The sequence below is a fragment of the Homo sapiens genome, chromosome 1 (genome assembly GCF_000001405.40).
Source record: "Homo sapiens chromosome 1, GRCh38.p14 Primary Assembly".
NCBI lineage: Eukaryota > Metazoa > Chordata > Mammalia > Primates > Hominidae > Homo > Homo sapiens.
In genome coordinates, this window is record NC_000001.11 from 76731780 (window position 1) to 76745122 (window position 13343).

General features: G+C 37.8%; 1 annotated feature.

Moving 5' to 3' along the window:
- Positions 6625-6919: an enhancer, noted in NCBI's record as "tiled region #3313; HepG2 Activating DNase matched - State 9:DNaseU". NCBI's record gives its function as "activates a minimal TATA promoter and a strong SV40 promoter by Sharpr-MPRA in HepG2 cells {active_cell/tissue: HepG2}" and the evidence as "EXISTENCE:reporter gene assay evidence [ECO:0000049][PMID:27701403]".

The following is a 13343-nucleotide window of genomic DNA, read 5'->3' on the forward strand; positions in this document are numbered from 1 at the left end:
ACCATCTGATCACTTTCAGCCATTGCTCGTTTCTGAACACATATTTACTTATTTTTTTTATAACTGCATGTAATTTTAATTTGTGCAACCTTTCCATTGGGTAGTGGAAACTCGGTATCAATTAATTCAGAGTGTCCTCTGGCAATTTATTTTATTGTGGTAAAAACACAACATGAGATCTATATTTTGAACAAACGTTCACAGTGTGTAATACATTACTGTTGTCTGTAGGTACAATGTTGTACAGAAGATCTCTAGAGTTTCTTCATCTTTCTTGACTGAGACTTCATGCCTGTCAATTAGTAACTTCCCATTTCCCTCTCCTCTCAGCCCCTGGTAACCACCATTTGACTCTTTTAGATACTTCACATAAGTGGAATCATACAATATTTGTCGTTCTGTGCCTGGCTTATTTATTCACCGTAATGTCCTCAAAGATCATCTATGTTGTCCCATATTGCAGAATGTCCTTCTTTTTAAAAGGCTGGAGAGTGTTCCATTGGTTATATTACTACATTTTCTTTATTCATTCATCCATCTATAGAAATTTATATTGTTTCCACATCTTGGCAACTTTAAATAGTGCTGCATTGAACATAGTTCATTACTAATATCTCTTTGAGATCTGATTTCAATTAAAAAAATACCCAGAGGTGGTATTGCTGGATCATATGGTAGTTCTACTTTTAACGTTTTAAGAAACCTCCGTACTGTTTTCCATAGTAGCTGCACCATTTCGCATGCACACCAGAAAGGGTTACAATTTTCTGAACATCCTTGCCAACTTATTTGTGTTGTACAATAACCATTCTAACAAATGTGAAGTGATAGCTCGTTGTGGTTTGAATTGAATTTCCATGATGATTAATGATACCGGGCATTTTTTCATATGTCTGTTGACCCCTTGTATGTCTCCTTTGGAGAAATGTGTATTCAAGTTCTTAGTCCATTTTTAAGAGGGTCTTTTTACTACTGTTAGGTTTTTTTTTCGTGGGGGGGGTAGTACTACTGAGTTACAGAAGTTCCTCAGATATCTTAGAAATTAATCCCTCTCCTGATAGTTTGCAAATATTTTCCCCTCATTCTATAGGCTACCTTTCACTTTGTTGTCTCCTTTGCTATGGAGAAACTTTGTAATCTGATGCAGTCCCACTTGTTTTATTTTTTGTTTTTGCTACCTGTGATTTCAGTGTTATATCCATTAAATTATTGACAAGAATAATGTCATGAAGATTTTCCCCTCTGTTTTCTCCTAGGAGTTTTGTGGTTTCAGGTCTTAGGGTTAGGTCTTTAATCCAGTTTGAGTTGATTTTTGTGAATGGTTTAAGAGTCCAATTTCATTATTTTGCATGTGGATGTCCAGTTGTTCCAACACCATTTGTTGATAAGCCTATCCTTTCCTCACTGTATATTCTTGGTACCTCTGTCAAACGTCAGTTAACTATATATGCACAGATTTATTTCTTGGCTCTCTATTCTGTTCCATTGGCCTCGTACCTGTCTTTATGTCAGTATCACAGGTTTGACCACTAGATTTGTAACTTATTTTGAAATCAGGAAATTTGATGCCTCTAGCTTTTTTCTTCCTTCTTAAGACTGATTTGGCTACTTGTGAGTTTCTTTGGTGGTTCTAGGTAAATTTAAGTATTGGTTTTTTATATCTATTCCTAAAAAAACTTCAGATTTAATAAGAATTCTGTTGAATCTGTAAATTGCTTTGGGCAGTGTCTCAGTCCATTTGGGCCGCTATAAAAAATAACATAAACTAGGCGGCTTATAAAAAAACAAAAATTGGCCCAGTGTGGTGGCTCATGCCTGTAATCCCAGCACTTTGGGAGGCTGAGGCGGGTGGATCACGAGGTCAAGAGATGGAGACCACCCTGGCCAACATAGTTAAACCCCGTGTCTACTAAACACACACACACACACACACACACACACACACACACACACACACACACACAAAGTTAGCCGGACATGGTCGTGGGCACCTGTAGTCCCAGCTACTCAGGAGGCTGAGGCAGGAGAATCACTTGAACCTGGGAGGCGGAGGTTGCAGTGAGCTGAGATTGCGCCACTGCACTCCAGCCTGGCAACAGAGTGAGACTCTGTCTCAAAAAAAAAAAAATATTTTTCACAGTTCTAGGAACCAGAAGGTTCAATATTAAGGTGCCAGTGGGGTCTGTGCCTGCCTAGAGCCTGATTTCTCATAACTGGCCATCTTCTCACTGTAATCTCACATGGCAGAAGAGGTGAGAGATCTTTCTAGAGCCTCTTTTATAAGACACTAATACCATTCACTGAGGCTCCATGAATGAATCAAAGGTCCCCCCAACCCCCAGTACCATCACCTTGGAGGTTAGAATTTCAACATATGAATTATGGATGGGGTGGGGGACATAACTATTCAGACCATAGTAGGTAGTATGAACATTTTAACAATATTAAATCTTCCAATCCATCAGATTGGGTTGTCTTTCCATTTGTTTGTGTCTTATTAAATTCTTTTATCTATTTTTATAGTTTTCAGCATACAAGTCTTTAACTTCCTTATATTAAAAGTCTATTCCTAAGTATTTTATTCTTTTTGGTGCTATTGTAAATGAGAATGTTTTCCTAATTTCCTTTTCAGATAGTTCATTGCCAGCATATAGACTGATTTTGCGTTCTGCAACTTTTTAGAATTTGTTTATTAGTTCTAACATTTTCATTGAGTTTTTAGGGTTTTCTACATATATGATCTTGTCATCTGCAAATAGGGACAGTTTTGTCTCTTTTTTATTTGAATGCCTTTTTTCTTTCCTTATCTTGCCTAATCACTCCTGCTAGGACTTCCAATTGAATGGAAATGGCAGTTGTGGACATCTTTGTCCTGTTCCTGATCTTAAAGGAAAAGTTTTCCGTTTTTAACCATCCAGTATCATGGTAGCTGTGGGCTTTTTATTTTTATTTTTTTACTTTGGAAAAGTTATTTATTTATTTTTTAAATTATACTTTAAGTTCTGTGATACATGTGAAGAACGTGCAGGTTTGTTACACAGGTGTACACGTGCCATGGTGGTTTACTGCACCCATCAACCTGTCATCTACATTAGGTATTTCTCCTAATGCTATCCCTCCCCTAGCCCCTCACCCCTGACAGGCCCTGGTGTGTGATGTTCCCCTCCCTGTGTCCATGTGTTCTCATCATTCGACTCCCACTTATGAGTGAGAATACGTGGTGTTTGGTTTTCTTTTCTTGTGTTAGTTTGCTGAGAATGATGGTTTCCAGCTTCATCTATGTCCCTGCAAAGGACATGAACTCATCCTTTTTTATGGCTGCATAGTATTCCATGGTGCATATGTGCCACATTTTCTTTATCCGATATATCATTGCTGGGCATTTGGGTTTGTTCCAAGTCTTTGCTATTGTGAACAGTGCTGCAATAAACCTACATGTGCATGTGTCTTTATAGTAAATTGATTTATAATCCTTTGGGTATATACCCAATAATGGGATTCTACATGTGTCTTTATAGTAGATTGATTTATAATCCTTTGGGAAAATACTCAGTAATGGGATTGCTGGGTCAAAAGGTATTTCTGGTTCTAGATCCTTGAGGAATCACCACACTGTCTTCCACAAAGGTTGAACTAATTTACACTCCCACCAACAGTGTAAAAGTGTTCCTATTTCTCCACATCCTCTCCAGCATCTGTTGTTTCCTGACTTTTTAATGATCACCATTCTAACTGGCGTGAGATGGTATATCATTGTGGTTTAGATTGGCATTTCTGTAATGACCAGTGAAGAAATGGAGCTTTCTTTCATACGTTTATTGGCCAAATAAATGTCTTCCTTTGAGAGGTGTCTGTTCATATTTTTTGCCCAGTTTTTGATGGGGTTGTTTGTTTTAGTCATGAGGTCTTTGCCATACCTATGTCCTGAATCATATTGCCTAGGTTTTCTTCTAGGGTTTTTATGACTTTAGGTCTTACATTTAACTCTTTATTCCATCGTCAGTTAGTTTTTGTATAAGGTGTAAGGAAGGGGTCCAGTTTCAGTTTTCTGTATATGGCTAACCAGTTTTTCTAACACCATTTACTAAATAGGGAATCCTTTCCCCATTGCTTGTTTTTATCAGGTTTGTCAAAGATCAGATGGTTGTACATGTGTGGCGTTATTTCTGAGGCCTCTGTTCTGTCCCATTTGTCTGTATGTCTGTGTTGGTACCAGTACCATGCTGTTTTGGTTACTGTAGCCTTGTAATATAGTTCAAAGTCAGGTAGCGTGATACCTCCAGCTTTGTTTTTTCCTTAGGATTGTCTTGGCTATACAGGCTCTTTTCTGTTTCCATATGAAATTTAAAGTAGTTTTTTTTTCTAATTCTGTGAAGAAAGTCAATGGTAGCTTGATGGGGATAGCATTGAATCTATAAATTACTTTGGGGAGTACAGCCATTTTTATATTGATTCTTCCTATCCATGAGCATGGAATGTTTTTCCATTTCTTTGTATCCTCTCTTATTTCCTTGAGCAGTGGTTTGTAGTTCTCCTTGAAGAAGTCCTTCACGTCCTTTGCAAGTTGTATTCTTAAGTATTTTACTCTCTTTGTAGTAATTGTGAATAGGAGTTCACTCATGATTTGGCTCTCTGTCTATTATTGGAGCATAGGGATGCTTGGGATTTTTGCCATTGATTTTGTATCCTGAGACTGCTGAAGTTGCTTATCAGCTTAAAGAAATTTGGGGCTGAGACGATGGGGTTTTCTAAATATACAATCATGTCATCTGCAAACAGAGACAATTTCACTTCCTCTCTTCATATCTGAATACACTTTATTTCGTTCTCTTGCTTGATTGCCCTGGCCAGAACTTCCAATACTATGTTGAGTAGGAGTGGTGAGAGAGGGCATCCTTGTCTTGTGCCGGTTTTCAAAGGGAATGCTTCCAGCTGTTGCCCATTCAGTATGATATTGGGTGTCGGTTTGTCATAAATAGCTCTTATTATTTTGAGATATGTTCCATTGATACCTAGTTTATTGAGAGTTTTTAGCATGAAGAGGTGTTGAATTTTATCAAAGGCCTTTTCTGCATCCATTGAGATAATCACGTGGTTTTTGTCATTGGTTCTGTTTATTTGATGGATTACATTTATTGATTTGCATATGTTGAACCACCCTTGTATCCCAGGGATGAAGCCAACTTGATTGTGGTGGATAAGCTTTTTGATGTGCTGCTGGATTCGGTTTGCCAGTATTTTAATGAGGATTTTCACATCAATGTTCATCAGGGATACTGGCCTGAAATTTTCTTTTTTTGTTGTATCTTTGCCAGGTTTTGGTATCAGGATGATGCTGGCCTCATAAAATGAATTATGGAGGAGTCCCTCTGTTTATGTTGTTTGGAATAGTTTCAGAAGGAATAGCACCAGCTCCTCTTTGTACCTCTGGTTGAACTTGGCTGTGAATCCATCTGGTCCTGAGCTTTTTTTGGTTGGTAGGCTATTAGTTACTGCCTCAATTTCAGAACTTGTTATTGGTCTATTCAGGGATTTGACTTCTTCCTGGTTTAGTCTTGGGAGGGTATAGGTGTCCAGGAGTTTATCTATTTCTTCTAGATTTTCTAATTTGTTTGCATAGAGGTGTTTACAGTATTCTCTGATGGTAGCTTGTATTTCTGTAGGATCAGTGGTGATATCCCCTTTATCATATTTTATTGTGTCTATTTTTTTCTTCTCTCTTTTCTTCTTTATTAGTCTGGCTAGCAGTCTATCTAGTTTGTTCATCTTTTCAAACAACCAGCTCCTGGATTCATTGATTTTTTTAAAGAGTTTCTCGTGTCTCTATCTCCTTCAGTTCTGCTCTGATCTTAGTTATTTCTTGCCTTCTGCTAGCTTTTGAATTTGTTTGCTCTTGTTTCTCTAGTTCTTTTCATTGTGATGTTAGGGTGTCAATTTTAGATCTTTCCTGCTTTCTCCTGCAGGCATTTAGTGCTATAAATTTCCCACTAAACACTGCTTTAGCTGTGTCCCAGAGATTCTGGTATGTTGTGTTTTTGTTCTCTTTGGTTTCAAAGAATTTATTTATTTCTGCCTTAATTTTGTTATTTACCCAGTAGCCATTCAGGAACAGGTTGTTCAGGTTCCATGTAGTTGTGTGGTTCTGAGTGAGTTTCTTAATCCTAAATTCTAATTTGATTGCACTGTGATCTGACAGACTGTTTGTTATGATTTCCATTCTTTTGCGTTTGCTGAGGAGTGCTTTACTTCCAATTATGTGGTCAATTTTAGAATAAGTGCAATGTGGTGCTGAAAAGAATGTATATTCTGTTGATTGGAGTGGAGAGTTCTGTCGATGTCTATTAGGTCTTCTTGGTCCAGAGCTGAGTTCAAGTCCTGAATATCCTTGTTAATTTTCTGTCTCATTGATCTGTCTAATATTGACAGTGGGGTGTTAAAGTCTCCCACTATTATTGTGTGGGAGTCTAAGTCTCTTTTAGGTCTCTAAGAACTTGCCTTATGAATCTGGATGCTCCTGTTTTGGGTGCATATATATTTAGGATAGTTAGCTCTTCTTTTTGCATTGATCCCTTTACTTTATGTAATGCCCTTCTTTGCCTTTACCAGTATGTAATGCTCTTCTTGTCTCTTTTGATCTTTGCTGGTTTAAAGTCTGTTTTATCAGAGACTAGGATTGCAACACCTCCTTTTTTTGCTTCCTATTTGCTTGGTAAATATTCCTCCATCCTTTTATTTTGAGCCTGTGTGTGTTTTTGCATGTGAGATGGACCTCGTGAATACAGCACATTGATGGGTCTTGACTGTTTATCCAATTTGCTAGTCTGTGTCTTTTAACTGGGGCATTTAGCCCATTTACAAACACCCCACTGTCAACATTAGACAGAGCAATGAGACAGAAAGTTAACAAGGATATCCAGGTATTGAACTCAGCTCTGCACCAAGTGGACCTAATAGGCATCTACAGAACTCTCCACCCCAAAACAACAGAATATACATTCTTCTCAGCACCACACCAAACCTATTCCAAAATTGACCACATAGTTGGAAGTAAAGCACTCCTCAGCAAATGTAAAAGAACAGAAATTATAACAAACTGTCTCTCAGACCACAGTGCAATCAAACTAGAACTCAGGATTAAGAAACTCACTCAAAACCGCTCAACTACATGGAAACTGAACAACCTGCTCCTGAATGACTACTGGGTACATAATGAAATGAAGGCAGAAATAAAGACATTCTTTGAAACCAACGAGAACAAAGACACAACATACCAGAATCTCTGGGACACATTCAAAGCAGTGTGTAGAGGGAAATTTATAGCACTAAATGCCCACAAGAGAAAGCAGGAAAGATCTAAAATTGACACCCTAACATCACAATTAAAAGAACTAGAGAAGCAAGAGCAAACACATTCAAAAGCTAGCAGAAGGCAAGAAATAACTAAGATCAGAGCAGAACTGAAGGAAATAGAGACACAAAAAAACCTTCAAAAAATCAATGAATCCAGGAGCTGTTTTTTTGAAAAGATCAACAGAATTGATAGACCACTAACAAGACTAATAAGATGAGAAGAGAGAAGAATCAAATAGATGCAATAAAAAATGATAAAGGGGGTATCACCACCGATCCCACAGGAATGCAAACTACCAGCAGAGAATACTATAAACACCTCTATGCAAATAAACTAGAAAATCTAGAAGAAATGGATAAATTCCTCGACACCTACACCCTCCCAAGACTAAATCAGGAAGAAGTTGAATCTCTGAATAGACCAATAACAGGCTCTGAAATTGAGGCAATAATTAATAGCTTACCAACCAAAAAAAGTCCAGAACCAGATGGATTCACAGCTGAATTCTACCAGAGGTACAAGGTTAATATTGTTATGTGTGAATTTGATCCTGTCATTTTGATGCTAGCTGGTTATTTTGCCCATAGTTGATGCAGTTTCTTCATAGTGTCAATGGTCTTTACAATTTGTTATGCTTTTGCAGTGGCTTGTACCGGGTTTTCTTTGCATATTTAGTGCTTCCTTCAGGAGCTCTTGTAAGAGAGGCCAGTGGTGACAAAATTTCTCTGCATTTGCTTGTCTGTAAAGGATTTTATTTCTCCTTCTCTTATGAAGCTTTGTTTGGCTGAATATGAAATTCTGGGTTGAAAATTCTTTTCTTTAAGAATGTTGAATATTGGCCCACACTCTCTTCTGGCTTGTAGGGTTTCTGCAGATATATCTGCTGTTAGTCTGAGGTGCTTCCCTTTGTGAATAACCTGACCTTTCTCTCTGGCTACCCTTAACCTTTTTTCCTTCATTTCAATGTTGGTGAATCCGATAATTATGTGTCTTGGGGTTGCTCTTCTCAAGGAGTATCTTTGTGGTGTTCTCCGTATTTCCTAAATTTGAATGTTGGCTTGTTTTGGTAGGTTGGGGAAGTTCTCCTGGATAGTATCCTGAAGAGTGTTTTCCAACTTGGTTCCATTCTCCCTGTCACTTTTAGGTACACCAATTGAACGTAGGTTTGGTCTTTTTCACGTAGTCCCATATTTCTTGGATGCTTTTTTTGTTCCTTTTCATTCCTTTCTCTCTAATCTTGTCTTCATGCTCTGTTTCATTATGCTGATCTTTAATCTCTGATATCCCTTCTTCCCCTTGATCAATTTGACTTTTGATACTTGTGTATGCTTCACGAAATTCTCATGCTGTGTTTTTCAGCTCTATCAGGTCATTTATTTTCTTCTCTAAACTGTTTGTTCTAGTTAGCAATTCCTCTAACCTTTTTTCAAGGTTCTTAGCTTCCTTCCATTCGATTAGAACAAGCTCCTTTAGCTCGAGGAGTTTGTTATTACCCACCTTCTGAAGCCTATTTCTGTCGATTCATCAAACTCATTCTCTGTCCAGTTTTGTTCCCTCACTTGTGAGGAGTTGTGATCCTTTGGCAGGGAAGAGGTGTTCTGGTTTTTGGAATTTTCAGGCTTTTTGTGCTGGTTTTTCCTCATCTTCGTGGATTTATCTACCTTTAGTCTTTGATGTTGGTGACCTCCAGATGGGGTTTTTGTCTGGATGTCCTTTTTGTTGATGTTCATGTTATTCCTTTCTGTTTGTTAGTTTTTCTTCTAACAGGCAGGCCCCTCTGCTGCAGGTCTGCTGGAGTTTGCTGGAGGTCCTCTCCAGACCCTGTTTGCATGGGTATCACCAGTGGAGGCTGCAGAACAGCAAAGATTGCTTGCCTGTTCCTTCCTCTGGAAGCTTCATCCCAGAGGGGCACCTGCCAGATGCCAGCCGGAGCTCTCCTCTGTGAGGTGTCTGTCGACCCCTGCTGGGAGATGTCTCCCAGTCAAGAGGCATGGATGTCAGGAACCCACTTGAGCAGGCAGTCTGTCCCTTAGCAGAGCTCGAGCGCTGCGCTGGAAGATCCACTGCTCTCTTCAGAGCCAGCAGGCAGGAACATTTAAGTCTGCTAAAGCTGCGCCCACAGCCGCCCCTTCCCCAAGGGAGATGGGCGTTTTATCTATAAACCCTTTACTGGGGCTGCTGCCTTTCTTTCAGAGATGCCCCACCCAGAGAGGAGGAATCTAGAGAGGCAGTCTGACTACAGCAGCTTTGCAGAGCTGAGGTGGTCTTCGCCCAGTTCAAAATTCCCGGCAGCTGTGTTTACACTGTGAGGGGAAAACCGCCTACTCAAGCCTCAGTAATGGTGGACGCCCGTCCGCCCACTAAGCTCAAGCGTCCTAGGTCGACTTCAGACCACTGTGCTGGCAGCAAGAATTTCAAGCTAGTGGATATTAGCTTACTGGGTTTTGTAGAGGTGGAATCCACTGAGCTAGACCACTTGTCTCCCTGGCTTCAGCCCCCTTTCCAGGAGAGTGACCGGTTTTGTTTCACTGGCATTCCAGGCGCCACTGGGGTATGAAAGAAAAACTCCTGCAGCTGGTTCAGTGTCTTCCCAAACGGGCACCCAGTTTTGTGCTTGAAACTTAGGGCCCTGGTGGTGTAGGCACCCAAAGGAATCACCTCGTCTGTGGGTTGCAAAGACCGTGGGAAGAGTGTAGTATCTGGGCAGAAATGCACTGTTCCTCAAAGCAGAGTCCCTCCCTCACGGCTTCCCTTGGCTAGGGGAGGGAGTTCCCTGACCCCTTGCACCTCCTGGGTGAGGCGACGTTTCACCCTGCTTCAGCTTCCCCTCCATGGGCTGCACCCACTGTCTAACCAGTCCCAGTTAGATGAGCCAAGTACCTCAGTTGGAAATGCAAAAATCACCCACCTTCTGCGTTGATCTCGCTGGGAGCTGCAGACCGGAGCTGTTCCTATTCCACCATCTTGCCAGCCACCAGCTGTGGGCTTTTTATATATGACATTTATTATGTTGGGATAATTTTTTTTATTCTTAGTTTGTTAAGAGCTTTTATCATAAAAGGATGTTGAATTTTGTCAAATGCTTTTTCTGCATCTATTGACATAATCATGTGATTTTTATCCTTTATTCTGTCAATGTAGCAAATCACATTCTTTGATATTCATATGTTAAAACATTCTTGCATCCCAGAGATAAATCCCATTTGGTCATGGTGTATAATTCTTTTAATGTGCTGTTGGATTCAGTTTGCTACTATTTTATTGAGGATTGTTGCATCTATGTTCATTAGAGATATTGGCCTATAGTTTTATTTTCTTGTGTTGCCTGTTTTTTTGGCTTTGGTATCAGGGTTATCCTGGCCTCATAATATGAGTTTGGAAGAATTTCCTCCTTTTCCATTTGTTGGAAGAGTTTGAGAAGAATCAGTGTTAGTTCTTCTTTAAATTATTGTTAGAATTTGCTAGGGAAGCCATCTGTCTTGTGTTTTTCTTTGTTTAGAGTTGTTGTTATTATTATTATTACTAATTCAATCTCTATACCAGTTACAGGTCCTTCCAACTTTCTATTTCTTCCTGATTTAGTCTTGATGGGTTGTTTGTTTCTAGAAATATATTCATGTCTTTTAGTTTGTATAGTTTGCTGGCATATAATTGTTTAGAATACTCTCTTATGATCCTTTATAGTTTGGTGGAATCTGTTGTAATGCTTCCTTTTTCATTTCTGATTTTACTTATTTAAGTCTTCTCTGCTTTTTTCTAAGTTTGTCTAGCTAAGGGTCTGTCAATTTTGTTTATATGTTCACAAAACCTATTCTCAGTTTTATGATTTTTTTTCTGTTACTTTTAAATTTTGTATTTCATTCATTTGTCTCTAGACTTTGTTTTCTTCCTTCTGCTAATTTTTGGCTGTTTTTTCTTCTTTCTTCAGTTCCTTGAGGTGTAAAATTGGTTTGTTTATTTCAGATCTACCTTATTTTTTAATGTAAACATTTATCACTATAAAATTCCCACTTGGTTCTATTTATTTTGTGTCCCATAAGTTTTGGTGTGGTGTGTTTTCAGTTTCATTTGTCTTGAGGTATTTTCTAATTTCCTTCTTGATTTCTTCTTTGACCCAATTGTTGTTCAAAAGTGAGTGGTTTAATTTCCATATATTTGTGAATTTTATAAGTTTTCTTCTGCTATAGATTTCTAGTTTTATTCCACTGGGGTCAGAAGAGACACTTAGTAAGATTTCAATCTTAAATTTGTTACATCTTGTTTTGTGACTTAACATGTGATGTATCGTGGAGAAAAAGTCATGTTTGCTTCATAAGAACGTGTATTGTATATTCTGCTGCTGTTGGGTGAAATGTTCTCTATATGTCTGTTAGGTCCATTTGCTCTACAGTGTTATTGAAATCTTTTGTTTCCTTTTTGGTCTTATGCCTGGGTATTCTATCCATTATTGAAAGTGGGGCATTGAAGTCTTCTACTATTATTGTGTTGCTATTTATCCCTTTAGTTCTGTCAATGTTTGCTTTATGCTTTATATGTTTAGTAACTCTGACGTTGGGTGCATATATATTTATAATTATTCTATCTCCCTGGTTAATTGACTCTGTTATCATAAATTATCTTTCTTTGTCTTGTAACATTTTTTCATATTAGAGAAAGATAAATTAGTCATCTGGATAAATAGAGCCACTTCTGCTCTTTTTTGGTGACAATTTATTTGTACGGAATAACTTTTTTTCATTTATTCACTGTAAGACTATATATGTTCTTAATTCTACAGTAAGTTTCTTGTAGACAGCGTAGAGCTAAGTCCTGGATCTTGTTTTGTTATCCACTCAGTCACTCTTTTGATTGGGGATGTTAATCCATTTATATTTTTAAAAGTTACTTACATAAAAAAATTAATATTGCCATTTTGTTCATTGTTTCCTGTTATTTTTGTAGTTCTTTTACCTGCCTTTTCCTCTTTTGTTGTCTTCCTTTGTGTTTTGATTTTTCATATAGACTTTGATTCCTTTCTTTTTTTCTTTTGTGTAAATTCTACAAGTTTGTGTGTGTGTGTATGTGTGCCTGTGTGTGGGTGAGCATGGTTACCTTGGTGATTTCATAAAATATCTTATAGAAATAACACTCTATTTTAAGTTGATAACAAGTAAAAGTCAATATCATACAAGAACTCTACACTTTAACTTCTCCCCCCCCCACTGTATTTTATTGTTATAAAAATTTCCATCTATTTGTATTGTATAACTTTAAACATATTTTTAATTAGAGTTATTTTTAATACTTTGTCTTTTAGCTTTTATATGAGAATTAAAAGTGATTTAGCCACTGCTATTACAATAGTACAGTATCCTGTATTTGTTTACATATTTACCAGTAGCAACAAATTTCATACTTTCTTATGCCATTGTGTTGCTGTTTAGCATCCTTTCAGTTCAACTTGAATAACTCCCTTCAGCATTTCTTGTAAGGCAGGTCTAGTGGTGATGAATTTTCTCAGCTTTTGTTTGTCTAGGAAAGTCTTTATCTGTCTTTCATTTTTGAAGGATAGTTTTGGGAACAGTATTCTTAGTTAGCAGTATTTTTATTTTCAGCACTTCAAATATATCATTCCACTCCTTCTGTCTGCAAGGTTTCTGCTGAAAAATATGGGGATTGTCCTATGAAAGTTCTTTTGTATTTGACAAGTTACTTCTTGCTTGCAGCTTTCAATATTTTCTTTGCCTTTAAATTTTGACAATTTGATTATATGGCTCAATATGGACTTTTTTGGGTTCAAATTATTTGGTGCCTTTTGGACTTCTTAAACCTAGATGTCCTCTTTCTTCCCCAAATTTGGGAAGTTTTTAGCCATTATTTATTTGGATAAGCCTTCTATTCCTTTCATCTATTTTCTTCTTCTGAGACTCCCATAATGTTTATATGTCTGCTTGATGGTGTCTCACAGTTTCTTTATATTTTCTTCACTTTTTACATTCTTTTTTTCTTTCTG